At 43.7% G+C, this 21,564-nt stretch overlaps 1 pseudogene; it reads right to left on the minus strand.

Moving 5' to 3' along the window:
• CTBP2P9 (CTBP2 pseudogene 9) overlaps positions 1 to 21,204 on the minus strand; it is a 44,659-nt pseudogene extending 23,455 nt beyond the window's left edge.
• Between the last annotated feature and the right edge of the window lie 360 nt (positions 21,205 to 21,564).

The raw sequence follows: 21,564 nt of genomic DNA on the forward strand, positions 1-21,564 counted from the left end.
GCTGGGCACAGTGATATGTCACAATCCTTTCTTTAAGCAGGGACTAGGCAGGAGAAGAAAATCACGCCACATGGGTGATGGGCTCATAGATATTTCACAATGTCCCCTTAGGCAAAGCTCAGGAAGGAGAGGTAAATCATCTAGGTTTTGGATGCAACAATATGTCAAAATGGCCATTGTGGACTGGGCACAGGCAGAAGAGTCACATAACATGGATGTGGGACCCAGCAATACATCACAACACCCCTGTGAGTAGCACTAATGCAAGGCAGAAAACATACATTACCTAGGTGCAAGGCCAAGTGATATGTCCCAATGTCCCCTGTGGGCAGCACCAAGGCAGGAGATAAGAGTCACATCATTTAGGTGCTGGCTTCAGTGATATATCAGAATCCCATCTGTGAGCTGGACACAGGAAACAGAGCTAAAACACTCAGGAGCTGGGCAGAGATGTATGTCACAATCCCACCTGCAGAAAGCGACAGGGATGAGATGAACAACTCCACACATGTCCGGATTCCAGGTATGAGAATTTGTATGTTTGGCCTAGGTACAACAGTCCCAATCTCAACAGTGAACTGGATTCATAAATGAGTCTTCTCTGGCTGAGAAGAACTTCTCCCCTTAGGAGAGTTACAGTCTCACAGATGTAATGAATTTTGGTTTGAGAGTCACCCACCTACCTGTGGACAAGATCCATATATGAGAGTCAATTTTCTCTTTCTTTCTTTCTTTCTTTCTTTCTTTCTTTCTTTCTTTCTTTCTTTCTTTCTTTCTTTTTTCTTTCTTTCTTCTTTCTTTCTTTCTTTTTCTTTCTTTCTTCCTTCCTTCCTTCTTTCTCTTTCTTTCTTCTTTCATTCTTTCTTTTCCTTTCTTTCTTTCTCTTTCTTTCTTTCTTTCTTTTCCTTCCTTCCTTCCTTCCTTCCTTCCTTCCTTCCTTTCTTTCTTTCTTTCTCTCTCTCTTTCTTTCTTTCTTTCTTTCTTTCTTTCTTTCTTTCTTTCTTTCTTTCTTTCTTTCTTTCTTCTTTCGGTCCCTTGAGACGGAGTCTCACTCTATCGCCAGGCTGGAGTGCAGTGGGGCGATCTCGGCTCTCTGAAACCTCTGCCTCCTGGGTTCAAGCAACTCTCTTGCCTCAGCTTCCCGAGTAGCTGGGATTGCAGGTATGTGCCATGACGCTCAGCTAATTTTTGTATTTTTAGTAGAGATGGGGTGGACAGGCACAGTGTCCCATGCCTGTAATCCCAGCACTTTGGGAGGTCGAGTTGGGTGGATCACCTGAGGTCAGGAGTTTGAGACCAGCCTAATCAATATGGTGAAACCCCGTCTCCACTAAAAACACAAAAATTAGCTGGGAATGGTGGCATGAGCCTGTACTCCCTGCTACTCGGGAAGCTGAAACAAGAGAATTGTTTGAACCCGGGAGGCGGATGTTGCAGTAAGCCTAGATGGTGCCACTGCACTCCAGTCTGGGTGACAGAGCAAGACTCTGTCTCAAAATAATAATCATAATCATAATCATAATCATAATCATAATCATAATCATAAATAGTAGAGAGACGTGGTTTCACCATGTTGGCCAGGATGGTCTTGATCTCCTGATCTCATGATCTGTCCGCCTCGGCTTCCCAAAGTGCTGCGATTACAGGTGTGAGCCACTGAGCCACGCCGGTTGTGCCCATTTTTGAGGATGGCAACTTTTATTGTCACCAGAGTGTGCATGAGTGTTAGAATCTCACCTGTTTGCTGGGCCCTGTTAGGACACTATGTACCTCCTGTGGGCCTTGTAGAGTATGCATTAAACATAATCCACTCTGAGGTCTTCATGCTGATATGAACCTATGATCATACCTGTGGCCATAAGTCCAGGTATGAGAGTCAACATCTCTCCAGCTGGCTGGATCCAGATAAGAGGATCTTTACTTGGCTGTAAACTGGGTTCAGAAATAAGTCACTATCCCCACTGTGACTGGATGTTCACAAATGATAGTTACAATTCCAACTGTGGACGGCATTCAGGTATGAGGTTTAGACCTCCCTAATCACCTCTGTTCCTGTGTAGGAATGAGAATTCTGATGATTGGTGGGTGTGCACACAGAGAACACAATCTCACCTGTGTTCTGGGCCCTGTGATGACACTGTACCATCTGAGTGCTTTACAGGATATGCAAGAGTGCTTACTTTCTCTGACCTTCATAGTAAGAGAAGACCCATAATTTTGCAAGTTTTGTTAAGCCTGGCTGTGAGAGAAAGTATCTCTGCTATTGGTTGGTTTAAGGTATGAATGTCATCGTCACACCTACATGCTAAGCCAAAATATATGTGACAATCTCACATTTGGGTAGTCAGAAGCAGGACAGTCTCATCACCTGGGTCTGTGTCAGGGACATGTTGCAGTCTTCCCTGAGGACAGGGACAAGGCAAGAGAGTCACATCCCTAAGAGTTCTGCCAGGGATATGTTCTTGTTCCCTCCTGAAAGCACGACACATGCAGCAGAGTCACCTCACCTGGGTTCTGGGCCCAGTGATATGTCACAATTTTCCCTGTGAACTAAGCACAGGCAGGTGAAACACATCACCTGTTTGCTGGGCCCAGAAATATGCTACAATTTTTCTTGTGAGCAGGGTTCAGGCAGAAATGGGGGGGGATCATATTTTCTAGGTGATAAATGCAGAGCTATGTCACAAGGCCCTCAGTAGTCAGGGTCTTGGTAGAAGCTTCCTATTGACTAGGTGATTCGCACAGTGATACATCACAATAGCTAAATTATGTGGGGCCCAAGGCAAAGAGGAGAGTTGCATCACCTAAGTGATGAACAAAAAATACTTCATAGTACCCATGGGGAAATGGCCCATGCAGGTGAGTCACCTTACCTACGTGTTGGACCCAGTGATATGTCACAATACACAATAAATGTAGGGCGCAGCCAAGAGCGGACAGTCAAATAGCTCAGGTGCTGGGCCCGGTGATACATTGTAATCTCTCTTTGGTCAGAGCCCTACAGTAGAAGAAACTCAGTTCACCTCGGTGCTGAGGTCAGCCATATGTCACAATACCCCTGAGAAATGAGCCCAGGCAAAGAGTCACTACATTTAGGTGAGAGGCCCACAGATATTTTGCAATGGCTCCTGTGGGTAGCACTCTGTAAAAAGACAGTCACATTACCTAGAGTCTGCCCGCAACGATTTGTAACAATCCCTGCTATAAACAGGTAGCAGTCAGGAGAAGTGAGTGCCATCACCTGGGTGGTCAGTGTAGAGATATGTCACAATGCCCCCTGTAGGCAAAGTCTAGACAAGAGTTACATCACCTGGGTGTTGGACCCAGCAATATGTCACAATGGCTCATGTGGGCAAAGCACAGGACAGAGTCACATAACAAAGTGCCAGGACCAGTGTTAGGTCAGGATACCCATTATGGGCAGTGCCAAGACAGGAGAATAGAAGCATATTAATTAGATGCTGGATTCAAGGATATATCACAATCTCATCTGTGGGCTACACCCAGGCAAAAATGTCAAATCACTCAGGAGCTGGCTAGAGGTGTACGTCAGAATCACACCTGCAGGAAGGTCCATGGATGAGATTAACAATCCCACATAAGTTCCGGTTCTGGGTATGAGAGTGAACGCCTCCTGTATGTTGCATCTATGTGCATAAGTCACAATCTCAATGGAGGAATGGGTTTTTTCCATGAGAGCCTTAATCCCTTTTGAAAACGGAGTTATCTTAGTGGATTCACAGCCTCACAAGTGTTTTGGATCTTGGTCAGGGAGTCACAAACCCACTTAAGGACAACATCCACTTTTAAGAGCCAATTTTCCAACTTTTGACTGCCTCTGGGTGTGAGTTTCAGAACCTCAATTATGGTCCATGTTCGTGTGGGAGAATGACAATTTTGACAGATGGCTGGGCTCAGGCAGGAGCCTTTCATCCTGCAGGTGTTGAGACAAAGGATATGATACAACACCTAAAATATGCTGGGTGCAGGCAAAAGAGGAGACTCATATTAGCTGGTTGCTAGGTCCAGTTATATGTCACCACCTCCCTTTTTGGCAGGGCTAAGGAAAAAGAGGAGAGTCAGAGCTAAAGAAATGTCATAATGTCCCTGTGGGTAGGGTCTATGCATAAGAGTTGCATCACCTAGTCATTGAACCCAGCCATATATTAGAATACATAATGTATACAAGGCCCAGGCAAGAAAGGAGAGAATATCACATAGGTACTGTGTCCAGCAATATGTCACCATACCCCCCAGAGGGGAGGCTCCAGGCAACAGGGCAACATTACCTAAGTGAAGTGCCCAGAGAGATGTTTCAATGCCCCTGGTGGGTAGGATTTTGAAAAACGAGAAGTTACAGAACCTAGGGGCTAGGCCTAGCTATGTGTCACATTCATCTCCAAGACAGAGCCCAGACATGAGAGAAAAGTCACATGATGAAGGGCATGTAATATGTCACAATCCTTATGTGAGCAGGCCCTAGGAAGAAGTAGAGAGTCACATAGTCTAGATGATGGGCCCAGAGACATTTGACAATGACTCCTGTAGGTAGGGACCAGGCAGAAGAATCACATCACCCCTGTGCTGTGCCCAGTTATAAGTCACACTTCCTTCTGTGGGCATGCCCCAGGCAGGGAGAATTCACATCATCCCAGTGCTAGACCCAGGGATATGTCACAATCTCTCTTATGGGCAATGCTCTGGTAAGAGAGGAGAGTTGCATCAAATAGGTGATGCACCCAGAAGTATGTCACGATGCCTTCTGTGAACTCGATCCAGGCAGAAGATTCACATCAACATCAACTTGGTGCTAAGCCCAGCAACGTGTCACAATCCCTTCTGTGTAAAGGGACCAGGCAGGAGAAGAGAATCACATCACCTGGCTGATGAGCACAGAGATATGTCACAATGCCCCTGTAAGGCAGGGCCCAGGCTGTTGGGTTACATAGCCTGAGTAGTGGACCCAGCAATATTAACACAGTGTCCCATATGGGCAGTGCACAAGCCGGAGAGTCACATAACCTGGATGCGAGGCCAAGCTATATATAACAACGCTTCCTGAGGGCAGCGCCAAGGCAGAAGAGGAGACTCACATCACCTGGGTGTAAGGTCTAGCGATATGTCAAACTGCTCACTGTGGGCAGTGCCAAGGAAGGAGAATAGAGTTACATCCTCAATGTGCTGGATCCAGCAATATGTTAATATCCCATCTGTGGGCTGGGTCCATGCGAGCCCGTCAAGTCACTTAGGTGCTAGGCACTGGGAAATTTCACAATGGAAGCTGCAGAATGGTCCAGGAATTAGATTAACAATCCCACAGCTGTCTCAGTGGTAGGCATGACATTCAACACCTCCTGTATGTTGGGTCTAAGCCCAAGAGTAACCATCTCAACACCAGACTGGATTTGCGCATGACAGCCTCAATTCCTCTGCAGACTGACCTGTGTTCCCGTGAGAGGATGACAATAGTTACTGTTGGCTGGGTGTGCATATGAGTGTGACAATCTCACCTGTGTGCTCGGCCCAGTTAGCACGCTCTGTGTACTACCCAATGGCCCTATACAGTATGCATGAGAGTCGTAATCAACTTTGAGACCTTCCTAATGGTAGGGACCCATGATCATACTTGTAGCATTAGGCCCAGGGATGAGAGTCAACATCATTACAATTAACTATGTCAGGATAGGAGACTCATCCCTTGCCTATGAGCTGAGTTTAGATGTGGGCCACCATTTTAACTCTGGTTGAATGTTTATATATGAACACAGGCCTAGCACCAATGTGATGTGAGTCTTTGGCCTAGACACTTCAAGCAGGAGGCAATGTGACATATCTCTGGGTCTATCAACTATTTGATATGACCTTCCTTTTTTACCTGAGCTTTCCCCATAAAAGAGATGTGACATATGTCTAGACCCAGCACCTGGGTGATGTGGCTCTTCTTTATTGACTGAGCCCTGTGTATTTTGGGTATTCTGACATATCCCTGTACCTAACTTCTGGAAGATAAGAAGATCCAACATGGGCCCTGCCTAAAAAGTCTCTTGTGACAAATTTCTACATGAATCACCTTGGATATTTGACTCTTCTCTCTTACCTGAGCTTTGCCCATAAGAGAGATTGTTACGTACCTCTGCAGCAAGCACCTAAATGCCGTGACTCTTCTTTCTTGCCTGGGTCATGCCCACAGATGAAAGGTGGCTTATCGCTGTGTCCAGCACACCGGTTATGTGATTATGCTGCCTGATCTCTTCTCACAGGAGCTGTTGTGACAAATCCCTGGGCCCAGAAATTATTTAATACGACTCTCCTCAATGACCTTAACTTTGTGCATGGGATAAATTGTGACATACCTCTGGATCCAGCACCGAGGTGATGCGACTCTCCTTTTCTGCATGGGCTATGCTTACAAGAAGGAGGCTGACTTATTGCTGTGTTGACAACTGATGTGATACCTCTGTTCTTGTCTTCCTAGATTTTAAGAATTTAAACAAGAGACACAAAGAAAAAAAGTACAGCATAATTTATTGGAAAAGAAAATATTTGAAAGTTAAGTGCAGAATACAGTACACCCTGAGAGAGATACTCCAGGGCTGACTGCTCATAAGAGTGAGACAGCGTGGACTGTCGCTGGAGAAACCCCTTTATGGCAGTTTTACATTATTATTAATAAGGAGGAGGGAAGAGGAGTTGCTAGTAAACATGTTCTCTGTGGTATTCTGGGTGCATATGCGCAGTAGCTGTACATGCTTGTTCATATGTTGCATGTCTCGTTAGCATCTTATATTTCCACCCAGGAGTGTATTTCTGTGTGTTTGTTTGTTTGTTTGTTTGAGACAGAGTCTCGCCGTGTTGCCCAAGCTGGGGTGCAGTGGTGTGATCTCTGCTCACTGCAACCTCTGCCTCCTGAGTTCAAGCCATGCTCGTGCCTCTGCCTCCTGAGTATCTGGGATTACAGGCATGCACCATCATACCCTGCTAATTTTTGTATTTTTAATTTAGACGGGGTTTCTCTATGTTGGCCAGTTTAGTCTCGAGCTTCTAGTTTGAAGTGATCCATCTTCCTCAGCCTCCCAAAGTGCTGAGAGTAGAGGTATAAGCCACCGTGCCTGGCTAGGGGGTGCATTGTTTGCTATTAAAATAAGCAAAATTTAAGTTTGAGGGCAGGTGAAATCAAAATACACATGCTCTCTAGAACAGAAAGTCCTTAATGAGGATAGCTTTGCTCGAATAAGCCCAATTACAATGCGAATGCTACGGCTTATTGTGTTGGCTGTACAGTCACCATGGTTTCTGTATCCTGAGATCATGGTCATTTTCTGTACTATCTATTCTGCCTCAATTTCCCCCTAAGAGATTTTAGGGCAATAACCATATTGGAGGTTGAGGGGTTAGACCACTTTTTCTGGAGCTGTTTCCTGCTGAGTGGGTGTTACTTCTGCCTAGCCTGGGCCTTAAAGTTTCTTCCTGTGTGATCTAACAGGGTGTAAACCATGTCATTCGTGGAACCAGTGGGAAGATGTTGGCAGCCAAAGATTGAAAGCCTTGCAAACCATCATGCAAACATGGAGCTGCCACAAGCAACATAGCAGGAAATCAGTTAACATTTTAAACAAAATTGGAACAAAAGTAGAAGTTGAAAATATAATAATGACGGGTACTATTAAAGAGAGCAAGGCAGGCAATGGACATTGCTTTCATGTTCCCATGGAAGTTCCTAGAGATTCAATTTTGTCTGCCTGGGTGATGATATTATTAATATTTTCTTGGAATAAACCAGAATGATTGATCTCAAAAAACAGCATTCTTCTTTTAGATATAAACATGTTCCTCTTTGCTTGGCTGGGAGAAGATCCCAGGCTCTTTGATTTTGTTGGAATGCAGTGGCCATGGAGTCCAGATGTTGTTGAAGTCTATTGAGGCCCTCTGCTGCCTGTTGGGGACACACTGAGATTTTCTGAGATAGTTTATACTGGATTCCCAAGGCTCCACCTTATGGTGACATTTGTGCTGCAAAAGTATTCTGCTTTAAAATGGTGAAAGCAGCAAAAGTTTTAAGTCTTTTCTATTTTTCGCAAATAAGAAAAAGTTTTGTGCAGCTGAGTTGGCAGCAGTCATTGGGTCCATTTATGGATGGTAAAGTTGAATGGTGGTCAAAGTTAGAGACTGGAAGGCTTCAGTAAACGCGCTGAAGTTGTCTGAGAGCCATCAGAGCTGTTGCTTACATTGGATTAGATCATTTACTGGGAAGAGAAGAAGCACTCTGATGGTCCTCTCTCCATTTGAGACTTTCTGTAAGCGGATCAAATTCTCTGGCCCTGCATGGTGTGAAGCTCCACTGTGAGTAACTGCAGCTGGACTGGTCTCTATTGTAACTGGCAAAGGCTGATAGAGGAGCATAAGGAGGAGGTGAAACAAGCTTAGATTCTACAGAAGACTCTGATAGTGTGGGGACGCTGGGGATTCTAAAGCAGGTGTAGGCCTCTGAGGGCCCCTATCTGGAGCTGGTATTAGGCTGTGGGGTCTGGGGTCACTTGTCCATAAAACAAATGATCTTCTACTGGATCTGAGGGGCTTTGTGGCTTACTAGGCTTTAGCCCACAGGTGCTGCATGGAGCTGGGTTTTGTTGTCGGGCCAGAAAGTCTTGCACATAGGATACTTCAGACCATTTTCCCTGATTACTACAGAAAAGATCTAGCTGTATGATGGTGTTAAATTTCACAGTCTCATTCTCCAGCCATGTTTTGTCAGCTAATCTGTATGCAGGCTAAATAGTTTTACAAAAGAAGATAATTGTTTTTTTGCTTCATTTAGCCAAAAGCTGTTTCAATTTTTAAATATACATCCCAGGTGTGTTTCAGTGACAGTAGAGGAAGTGATTCCCATGGTGCCGAGAGAATCCTGCAAACGACAGAACATGTACTAAAGTCCAGGAGGCTGTGGGCAGCCCCATGAGCCAAGTGGAACCACCAAGTTGTCCAACTCATCCCCTTGAAACCCCATTAACTGAAGCTCTAGGAGGTCATAGGCATTTGCCATGCACCGTCCTAGCTCTCACCAGCGCTGGACATCTCCAGCCCTGCCGAGATGACCCCCACTGCTCGCTGGGGGGCAGATGTCTGGCTGACAAGCCTTTCCCTAATTCAGTGGTTTGCCATTTATGATGCCCAATTATAACACCTGCAATGCTCAGATTCAATCCCTATGACTGGGCCTATCCATGACTGTGCATCTTTTGTTCAGCAAAGAAAGCCTGTTGAAGAACAATTTCAAGGAGCTGGGAAATGCATAAAGCCTAAAGGGACAGGGTTTCCCCAGAACTTTAGTGAAACAGTGCTGGAAGAACCAGCGATAGTTAACCAGGTAGTCTGGAAGTGCCACAGTATTCACGGCAAGTAAAGGGAAAGTGAAATCAGTGAAGCGGACAGACCTCTCTCCAGGCCATGGCAAAAGAAATGTTGATGGCTGATGTAATACCTTGATTCTTATTTTCTTAGTTTAAAAGAATTCAAACAAGAAACACACAGCAAAAGAAGTACAGCATAGAGTAATTTATTGCACACAAAAAAAGAAAAGACTACTTTGAAAATTAAGTGCAGAATAGACGGTACATTCTGAGAAAGAGATTCCAGGGCAGGCTGCTCATAAGAGTGAGACACCATTAATTGTTACTGGAGAAACCCTCCTTCTGGGGGTTTTGCACGATTATTCATAAGAAGGTGGAAAGAAGTGTTAGTGTAAGCATGTTTTGAGTGGTCTTCTGGGTGCACATGTGCACTAACTGTACATATTTGTGCATACATTGCATGTCTCATTAGCATCTTAAGTCTCCACCTAGGAATGTGTTTTTACTATTAAAATGAGCAAAAGTTCAGTTTGAGGACAGATAAAATCAAAATGCACATGTTCTCTAGAAGTAAAAGTCCCTACTGAAGATAGCGGGTTTCAAACGACCCCAAGTGCTCCACATCTTAAATGTCGCTCCAACAAAGCTGGAACACTATCTGCTCCTGAGGGATCCGGTCCCATTTGTGTTTCTGAGACACTGGCAAGTCAGGAGTGACTTGAGATGAGACCGATGATTTCAAGTGTAAAATGCCTAAATAGTCAGCAGCTTCAGGTTTCATTTTGGAGCTTGTCCACTTAAATGGGTTGATGAAAATGGCTCACAAGACTCATGCCTCGGAAATGGGGTTTTCTCCTTTGCTCTTAGCAGATTTTGTGCAACCCAATAATTAACCTTCCTGATGCCTCAACTTTCACATTCGTGAAAAAGGCGCCATTGACAGTGACATTTCCAGGAAGCCACAGACCTTGTCACCCCCTACAGAATTCTGAAGCTGTTCATAAGCAGGCCACGTGGAAGATTTCTCTCAAAAGCTGTTGAGCATGAGGCTTGGCTAGAGAAAAAAGAGGGCTGCGGCACAATGGACAGTGTCTCAGACATCAGGACAGTTTCCACAGCAGTTTAGGAAAGAAGGCAGCGCCCTGGGCTGCAGAAGGCGCAATGCTCTGGGAAGAACCCTGGGTGCAGCTGAAAGAGGAACTTGAGAAGGATAGGGCCAATCAGTTGAGGACAACCCGCCCGATTTGGGCAAAGGTAAGGTGCCTATGTAGGGTAATACCCTCCTCAATGCTCAGCGCAGACCTGTCCTCTAGGTCCACCTATGTACTCATTCTCCTTGGCAAAGAGTCGGCATAGCATAAGAACTCAGCAGTGCTTTGGACACCGGGAAGTCCACACCGCTCTGCCCCTCCCTCCAGGGCTATGCACCCCGGGTCCCGGTACATGCTGTGATTATAGTTCTGAAGCCTACCGACAAACAGGCTGAGAGCAGTTAACAGACTACAGCTCCCAGCATATTAGGTAGGGCGTGTACCACTCGGCCCCTTCTTCCAGGCCTGTACCTCGCCCCCGAGACTGGCACATGCTGGGATTGTAGTCCTGTAGCCCTTTGACCAAAGGGCTGGGAGTGTTTATAAGAATACATCTCCCAGCAAGCCGAGGGAGACGCACACAGCCCCGCCTCTTTCTCCACTGACGGGCCGTGTCCCTGACCCCAGTGCATAATGGGATGGTAGTCCTGCAGCCCTGTGACACAAGTTCTGGTAGTCTTTATGAAACTACATCTCCCAGCAAGCAGAAGGAGGCATCCACATCCTAGACTTTTCCTCCAGTAATGCGCACTCTCCCTGAGCCGGGTGCATGCTGGGATTGTAGTCCTGCAGCCCGGTGATGAGAGGTCTGGGAGTGTTTATGAGACTGCAACTCCCACCAAGCCCAGAGAGGCGTGCACAACCCTGCCTCTTCCTCCAGTGACGCGCACATTCCCTGCGCCCGGTCCATGCTAGGATTGTAGCGCTGCAGCCCAGTGACCAAAGGGCTGGGAGTGTTTATGAGACTGCATCTCCCAGCAAGACCAGCGAGGTGTGCAGAGCCTCGCCCCTTTCTCCACTGATTAGCGCACTCTCCCTGATCCCGATGTATGCTGGGATTGTAGTGATGCAGCCCAGTGACCAAAGGGCTGGGAGTGTTTACGAGAATACGTATCCCAAAAAGCATAGCGAGAACAGCACAGGTCCACCTCTTCCTACAGTGACGCGCGTTGTCCCTGAGCAGGATGCATGCTGGGATTGTAGTCCTGAAGCCCTGTGACCAAAGGGCTGGGAGAAATAAAGAGACAACATCTCCCAGAAAGCCCAGCAAGGCGCTCACACGCCTTTCTCTTCCTCCAGTGAGGCGGACTGCCCCGGCGCCCCGTGCATGCTGGAATTGTAGTCCTACAGCGATGTGATGAAAGGGCTGGTAGTGTTTATGAGACTACCTCTCCCAGCAAGCCCAGAGAGGTGCGCACAGACCTACCTCTTCCTCCAGTGACTAGTGCACTCTCCCTGAGCCAGAGATATGCTGAAATTGTACTGCTGCAGCCCTGCGACCAAACGACTGGGGTAGTTATGAGACTGCATCTCCCTGCAAGCCCAGCGAGGCACGCACAGCTCCACGTCTTCCTCCAGTGATACACACTGTCCATGAACCCGCTGCATGCTGGCATTGTAGTCCTGCAGCCCTGTGACCAAAGGGCCAAGAGACCACATCTCCCAGAAGACCTAGGGAGACGCACACAGCTCCGCATCTTTTCCCCGTGTCGCATACTGCTTTGATCCCGATGCATCCTGGGATTGTAGTCCTGTAGCCCTGTGACAAAAGGTCTGAGAGTCTTTATGAAACAACATCTCCCAGCAAACGCAGCGAGGTGCGCACAACCTGCCCCTCTTTCTGCAGTGATGTGGACTCTCCCTGAGCCCCGTGCATGCTGGGATTGTAGTCTTATAGCACTGTGACCATAGGGCAGGGAGAGGCCATGGGACTACATCTCCCAGGAAGCCCAGCAAGGCGCACACTGCCCTGCCTCTTTCTCCTTAGACTAGCGCACTGTCACTGAGCTGGGTGCATGCTAGGATTGTAGTCCTGCAGCCTTATGACCAAAGGGATGGGAGTGTTTATGAGAATACATCTCCCAGTACGCCCAGGAGGTGCACACAGCCCTGCCTCTTCCTGCAGTGATTAGCGCACTATCCCTGAGCTGGGTGCATGTTGGGATTGCAGTCCTGGATCTCTGTGACCAAAGGGCTGGGAGCGTTAATGAGACTACATCTCCCAAAAAATCACAGCTAGAAGCGCAAAGCCCTCCCTCTTCCTCCAGTGACGCGCGCTGTCCCTGAGCCCAGTGCATGCTGGGGCTGGAAGTGTAGTCCTTCAGGCCTGTGATGAAAGGGCTGGGAGGTTTTATGAGAATACAACTCCCAGCAAGCCTGGCGAGTAGCACACAACCCCGCCTCTTCCTCCACTGACGCACAATTTCCCTGAGCCCGGTGCTGGCTGGGATTGTAGTCTTCCGCCTCTTCCTCCAGTGACAGGCACTGTCTCTTAGCCAGGTGCATGCTGGGATTGTAGTCTTCCCGCCCTATGACCAAAGGGTTGGGTATGTTTATGAGAATACATATCCCACCAAGTCCAGCGAGGCGTGCACAATCCCGCCTCATTCTGCAGTTACGCGCACTATCCTTGATCTTGGTGCATACTGGGATTGTAGTCCTGCTGCCCTGTAATGAAAAGTCTGGGTGTCTTTATGAAACTACATCTCCCAGGAAGCCAAAGGAGGCGCGCAAAACTGTGTCTCTTCACCCAGGCACATGCACTATCCCTGATCCCGGTGCATGATGGGAATGTAGTCCTGCAGCCCTGTGACCAAAGGGCTGGGAGTGTTTATGAGACAGCATCTCTCAGCAAGCAAAGCAAGGCCTGCACAGCCCCGCCTTTTCCTCCAGTGAGGCGCACTGTTCATTAAGGAGTGTTCATGAGATTACATTTTCCATCAAGCCCAGCGAGTCACGCACAGCTCTACCTCTTCCTCTGCCGGCGCGCACTGTCTCTGATTCCGGTGTATGCTGGAATTGGGGTGCTGCAGCCCTGTGACCAAAGGGCTGGGAGTCTTTATAAGACTACATCTCCCAGCAAGCACAAGAGGTGCTCACAGCCGCACACCACCCTCCCCGCCCCACTCTTCTTTCAGTGACCGCGCACTGTCCCGTGAACCTGGTGCATGCTGGAATTCTCCCGTTGCGGGATTCAGGAGGATGAGAGAGACCCCGGGTTGAAACAGGAGAATTTTTATTGAGTGCACTCAGTGTCAGGCCTCTGAGCCTAAGCTAAGCCATCGTACCTTCTGTGACCTGCACGTACACATCCAGATGGCCGGTTCTTGTTTTAACTGATGACATTCCACCACAAAAGAAGTGAAAATGGCCTGTTCCTGCCTTAACTGATGACATTGTCTTGTGAAATTCCTTCTCCTGGCTCATCCTGGCTCAAAAGCTCCCCGACTGAGTACCTTGTGACCCCCCCACTCCTGCCCGCCAGAGAACAATCCCCCTTTTTCCTTTACCTACCCAAATCCTATAAAATGGCCCCATCCCTATCTACGTTTGCTGACTCTCTTTTCGGACTCAGCCTGCCTGCACCCAGGTGATTAAAAGCTTTTATTGCTTACACGAAGCCTGTTTGGTGGTCTCTTCACACGGACCCCCATGAAACTGAGGACAAGCTAACTCACATCAAAAAGACTGGGCCCGGAACAAAGACAGAACCTGACTTTTATGCACATTTCACAAAAGGTGGTGGGCTAGCTTGAAGCAAGTTTACAGTGGCGTGAAAGCAGGGATACAGAGGCAGGACAGACAGGATTGCACATGACCGTTGCCAAGCAACCCACATGTCCATTTTCTAGGTTTCCCTGGGCATGGGCTTATCCTATAACCCTCACTATGGTGCCCAAACAGCTGTAGTTCAGCCTACTCAGGCTTCTCATGACTTACATTGTACTTCTTAGATAAAACAGAATACTTGAAGTCACTAGTTACAGAGAACAAGAATCTATAAACTCATTCCGTAAAAAAAGGAAATTTGTTTTTCTTTTCCCGATGTTGGGGGAGCGTTGGGAGAGCCTCCAGAGCACATTAGATAATATTATCAAGACTATTCCTGGTTCTGGGCTGTGCCTGTTGAAGCCTCTGGGACAAGTCAGCCCAATACAAGAAAATTTATTTCTCTTTCTTTTTAATTTTATTTTTCTTTAATTTCCCTCCTCAGTCCCACAGCCCTGTGACCAAAAGACTGGGAGTGTATGTCAGGCCTCTGAGACCAAGCCAAGCCATCGCATCCCCCGTGACTTGCACGTATACGCCCAGATGGCCTGAAGTAACTGAAGAATCACAAAATAAGTGAATATGCCCTGCCCCACCTTAACTGATGACATTCCACCATAAAAGAAGTGTAAATGGCCGGTCCTTGCCTTAACTGATGACATTATCTTGTGAGAGTCCTTTTCCTGGCTCATCCTGGCTCAAAAAGCACCCCCACTGAGCATCTTGCGACCCCCACTCCTGCCCGCCAGAGAACAAACCCCCTTTGACTGTAATTTTCCTTTACCTACCCAAATCCTATAAAACGGCTCCACCCTTATCTCCCTTCGCTGACTCTCTTTTCGGACGCAGCCCGCGTGCACCCAGGTGAAATAAACAGCCATGTTGCTCACACACAGCCTGTTTGGTGGTCTCTTCACACGGACGCGCATGAAATGTACAGTTACGCTTCTGTTCACTTGTCATGAGACTGTTTTCTTTTACCCCCATGAACGTACTTACCATAGCTTCTTTCAAATCTTATCTACTGATTACAGCATCTTGCACATCTTGAGAATAGGTTCTATTGTCTGCTTTTTATCTTGTGAATCGATTACACTTTCATGCTTCTTCACACATCTCATGAATTTTTAAATTGTGTGATAGGAACTACAGGGACTCTGGATTCTGTTGTATTTCTTTGAAAATTATTATTTTAAGAGGGAGTTAATTTGAATAGATTCAAACCCCAATCCTTATCTCTTCCACAGTGGCATAGATAAAATCTTCATTCAGTCTTCTAAACAGTGTGCCTTTCTATATAGCAAAATATAGTATTTTATTAAGCTTTATTATTGTTATCTGTGAAATAGTTATTCAACGAACTAGTCTACTTCATTATTACTGGAAACCAGAACCTCAGTTGTGTTCACTTTCTGGATTTTATATAAGTGAAATTATATAATATGTATACTTTTACATCTACTTTCTTCTAGGCAACTTTATATTTATGATATTAATTCATGCTATTGCAGATAGCTATAGTTTGTTTATTTAAAAAATATTTTTTACATTTTGGCAAAGTATACATAAAATTAACCATCTTAACTATTTTAAGTGTTCAGCTCAGAGAAATTAACTACACTCACATTGTTTTGCAACTATTATTCCCATTCATAAGGATCTTTTTTCAACTTCCAAACCAAAATTCAATACACATTAAATAACAGCTCCCTGTTACTCCCCCTCCAGCTCCTAGGAACCACTCTTCTACGTGGGTTTCCAGAATTTAACTACTCTAAGTATCTCATAAGTGGAATGATACAGTATTTGTCCTTTTATGACTGGCTCATGTCACTTTGCACAATGTCCTTAAGGTTCATGCATGACGTACCATGTGTCAGAATTTCCTTATTTTTCATAACTGAATAATATCCCACTGTATGTATAAATCACATTTTATCTATTTATTCATTGATGATAATTCAAACAACACAGGTAATTCAAAAACCTTTTGAGTGATGTGAGTCATGCTGCTATGAGCTTAGGTGTACGTGTATTATTTTGTGTCTTCGCTTTCACATCTTTTGCAACATACCAAGATGTGAAATTGCTGGATCATACGGTGATTTTGAGTGTAAATTATTTCGTTACTATGGTGTTGTTTTATAGCAGCTGCAGCATTTTACATTTCCACCAAGTGTACAAGGGTTCTAACTGCTCCACTTCCTCACCAACACTTGTGATTTTCTGTTTTTTTTTTCTTTTTGTACTAGTTATGCTGATGTGCATTAAGTGATATGTCATTTGGGGTTAGATTTTCATTTTACTAATGAAAATGAAAAGGTTTTGTTGAGTACCTTTTCATGGGCTTATAAGCCACTTCACATAATTTTTAGAGAAATATCTGTTTAAGTATTTTGCCCATATTTTAAACAAGTAGTTTATTATTGCTGAATTGTTCTTTGTATATTCTGGATAGAGTCCTCTTTATCTATTTTTCTTTTGTTTCTTGCATTTTTGGTGTCCTGTTAAAAGAAATCACTGCGAAATCCAGCCTTATGACGTGTTTTACCTACATTTTATACTAAGAATTTTGTAGTTTTAGCTCTTACATTTAGGTCTTTGATCCAGTTAGTTAATTTTTTCTTATAGTAGAAGTTAAGGGCCCAGCTTCACTCTTTTACATGTGGGCACCCAATTTCCCCAGCACTAATTGTTGTAAAGGCAGTTCATTTCCCATAAAAATCATTTGACCTTATATATGAGGGTTTATTTATATGGGCCTTCTATATTACTCCATTAGTCTCTTTGTAGCATGCTATTTTGGAATTTTGTAGTAAGTCTTGAAATCATTAAGTGTGACTTGTCTAACTTTGGTATTTTTTTCAAAATTATTTTTGCAATTTAAAGATCTTTGAGATTCCCCATAAACTTAAAAATTGATTTTTTAATATCTACACAAGAGTAATTGGCATTTTACTTCTTCGTTACTTCCTAACTACTTTATTCTTTTGATACTATTGTAAATTGAATTGTTTTCAGAGTTTTCTTCTCAGATTATTCATGTTACTACATAAAATGCAGTTTGTTTTTGTATGTTGATTTTGTATGCTACTATTCAGCTGAATTTATTAGTTGTAATATTTTTTGGTGGAATCTTAAAGATTTTCTACATATAAGAATATATTTTCTGTACACATTTTGATGCAGTTTATTTCATTGTCTTTTTTAATTTCTCTGAATGAAACTTCTAATACAGTGTTGAATAAAAGTGGCTAGCAAGAGCAGATATTCACTCTGTCTTCGGAGCTTAGAGGAAACACTTTTGATCTTTTCCTCTGGAATATGTTGTTTGCTGTGGGTTTTTATATGTGAATTTTACAAAGCTGGTTTCCTTTTATTCCTAATTTATTGTTTTTATTATAAAATATTTTGAATTTTGTAAAATACGTTATCTGTATTAATGAGAGAATACTTTTTAAAAAGTTTGTCAATGTGGCATATGCATTGATTAATTTTCATATGCTTAAACTTTTGTTAAGAAAGGCTAGCTAAGTGAACCAGTGAGACTGGAAAAAGAATAAAGAAATCTATACTGGTTGTGATCAATTATTTGTAAACACCACTGCACTGAAACCACCCATATGCTAAAACTTCCTTTCATTCCAATAATAAACTCCCCTTGGTCATGGGTTGTAATCTTGCTAGTATGCTGCTGAATGTAGTTAGCTAGGATGTTGCTGACTAGTTTTGCATCCGTGTTCATAAGGGATATTAGTCTATGGGTTTTTGTAGTATCTTTGTCTGGCTTCGGTATGAGCTAATGGTGGCTTCATGGAATAAGTTTGGAACTGCTCTCTTCAGGCTTTTGGTAGACTTTGGAAAGGATTTTTGTTCTATAAATGCTTGATCTAAATCACTAGTGAAGCCAACAAAATAAGGGCTTTTCTTTATGAAGAGGCTTTTAATTACTGATTCCATTTCCTTAGTAGTTTTGTATCTATTCAGATTTTGTATTTCTTTGTAATCAAGTCTTGTATACCTAGGAATCTGCCCACTTTATCTACGTTTTCCAATTTATCATCCTATCATAGTTCACAGTACAGTTTTTTAAACATTTTAATTCTTTGAATTAGTAGTAATGTCCCACTTTCATTTCTCATTTTAGTATGTGAATATGCTGTTAATTTTTTGTGTGTGTAGCTGAAAGTTTGCCAATTGTTAATTTTTTGAAGAAGTGAGAATGAACTTTTGGTTTTTTGGAATTCTGTGGTTTGTATAATCTCCATTGCATTTATCTCTGCTAAAAGCTTTAATATTTTCTTCTTTCTCTTTGCTTTGCATCTAATTTGGTGTTATTTTTCTAATTTACTAGGTGATAAAGTTATTATTTATTTGAAATCTTTGTTCTTTTTAAATGCATTTTAGCTGCAAACTTTACATCTTAGCACTCTTTTTGCTGTTTCCCTTAACTTTTGATGTGTTTTGTTTTCATTTTTCTTCCTCTGTAAGTATGTTCCAACTTCCTCTGTGATTTCTTCCTTTACTTATTTGTTGTTTAAGGGTATGTTGTTTAATTTATACAGTTTTGTAAACTTTCTAACGTTTCTTCTGTTATTGATTTAATTTGAGATCTACTACACAGCCCATCGTGGGGAAATCCCCATGTGCATTTGAGAAGAGTGTGTAGTCTCTTTTGTTGGATGGAGTATATTGTATATATCTGTTAGATCAATTTGGTTCATTGAGTTATTCAAGAACTCTATTTCCTAATTTATCATCTATCTCATTTTTCTATTCATTACTCAGAGTGGAGTATTAACATCTTCAACTATTATTTTAGAACTGCCTTTTTGCCCCTTTAATTCTGTCAAGTTATGCTTTCTATATCTCAATGTTTTATTATTAGGTATGGGTTTAAACTATTTCTATCTTCCTGCCAAATGGACAATCTATGACTATATAATGTCTTATTGTCTCTTTTAAGTTTTTAAGTCTATTTTGTCTGCTATTAATATAGTCATTCCCAGTCTCTTTTTCATACTATTGGTATAAAATAATTATTTTCTTCCTTTTTTTTTATAACCCTCAAGTCCTGTGGAAGGCTAAGAGCAGCATTACTTAATTTAAAAAGCAGATAAATCTTAAATCCATAGTTTAATATTTCTAAAAGCATTTAAATGGAAATGAGCTACGCAGTCTACCAGGAACGAAGGATATCAGTTGGGTCTAAGAATAATCATGTCAAAAAGCTCTAGGAGGAAAAGCTGCTGGGAATTAAGACTGTGATAACGGTCTTTGGGATCAAGAAGGAAATGGGGAATTGGGGATGCTCAAGGTCAGGTACATGCTTAGCAAAAGACCCAGAAAACCCTAAGCTCTCACCTCTGCATTTTAAACTCTGCACAAGTAGAAAGTAGAGGCTCAAGGAGAGATGTAACTTTATGCTGATTGGTAAAGGCATGCTCCAACACACATACATAGATCTCAGGTGAAAAAATCAGATATTTATGTTTAGTGAGAGTTAAAAAATCTGGAGTCTTACTTTCCAATTAAGGTTTAGTGAAAATATTTGGGGAGATTTGCATTGATCAATTCATCCTGAGGTCAAGAAAATCTTGATTTTGGCATTTGGAGCCTCTAGTAAAGGACTAGCCTCCTCCCAGAGGTGTTCTTTGGGCTTTTGGACTCAGTGACACACTACTGGTTACACTGATTTGAAAGTCAGCTAAGAGCTTGCTGCAGAACTCCTGACAAACTCAGTTTCACCCATAGAGGGCTAGAGCATCCCCAGCTGGTTGAAATTTTATGCCTCCTTCTATCCTCTGAAGCAAAGATGCTGTCTCTGTGGGGCCCCCAATTTACTGAGTGTTTCCTATATGACTGGTCCTGGTTCATAGATGAGTCAGGGAAGGTGAAACCTCATGATGTCCACTGGGCTGCTGTGGCTGTTTAACCTGTGCCAGCCATACAGAACCTGACATGAGTGGTTGCTCCTCTCAAAGGTCAGAACTCAGGGTTTGGGATAATGGCACATATTCTATCTGTTTGGTTATCTACAATGGAAACTGTAGACTGTCTGAATATCTTTTGGGCTGCAAACTGGAGACAATCTCAGATGCTGATCTAACTGGATCACTCATCTAGAAGTCCATGGTAAGGGTTTGTTTTCTAGAGAGTGACAACAATCAAGCTGCAGATTGAACCTAAATCTGTGTCTAACGCAGAGTCTAATACTGCAAACCAGACTTGGGGTTGCTGGTGAAAGTTGACCTATTTGTCTCATGGTTGAAGAATTCCTAGACCATACCAAGCAGAGTAACCAGAAGTGGACTTTTGGCCCACTTCTTGAGATATCAGTCACCACTCTTGACATCTTCAGCATAACAGTATGCCGACACCATCCATACCATGTGTCCCGTGAAGCTAATCTGTGCCATCTTTTAGGCTTTTGAGACCAATTGAGCTCTGACTTCGCGGCATTTTTCACCACACGTACTAAAACAAGCCAACTCTATGATGTTCCCTCCTTTTCCACACATGCTGGTTAGATAATTTGTTGATTAGGTATGGTTTATTTTCTCTTCCTGATTGCCTCCAAGATAAGGATGAAATGTTTGGGGGATCTAGGAATCATCTAGGAATCTATTTCACAAACTTGGAATTTCGTGCTAATAATTCCTGGGTGAAATGTGACTTTCTTTCCCATAACTGCAATTCTAGGCAAGCCTGGCTTTTGTATCCTCTGAGTTGCATCTCAGCCTAGTAGCAGTTATGGGACTCCAACTTAGTTCCAGCTAAGTTTTATGTAAATATTCTTGTCTCTATTTTACCTGGCTCTAGTAGATAAAGTGTCTAGAAAAAAGTAGAGGGCGACTAGAATAAAGATGAGATTATAGGTACCGGAATGAGACACACTGATTCTGTGGAAGTAGTGGGAGAACAACCTGGAACCTGGGGTATGAACAACACAGACCTCGGAAGCTACGGGAAACGGTGGGACATTAACAACTTTTTTTCTTTCTGAACAACCCCTGGTGCAGCCCACAGAAAGGTCTGGAAATACTATTAGTTAGATCAGACGGTAAGGCAGAGGCTGTGGATTCATCTCCTTTTGGTCCCCACATTACTCTTAAGAATCCTTTGAGACTATTCTATCTCTCCGTGATGTAGGCATGGAACTCTAGTGGGCAGTGTGCACTCTCGGTGCCCATGGTTCCAGGCCACAGTTTTTCAGATGATGGACAACAATTGCTTTTTCCTGAAGAGACTTAGTACCCTGTGGCTGAGCTTAAGCGGGACTCTAGACAGCATTGATTGCATTTTCTTCTTCCTCTACGAACTGGGATTTCTCCTTCTGTTTTTCTACTGCCTAGAGG

Source organism: Homo sapiens, chromosome 21 (assembly GCF_000001405.40).
Source record: "Homo sapiens chromosome 21, GRCh38.p14 Primary Assembly".
NCBI lineage: Eukaryota > Metazoa > Chordata > Mammalia > Primates > Hominidae > Homo > Homo sapiens.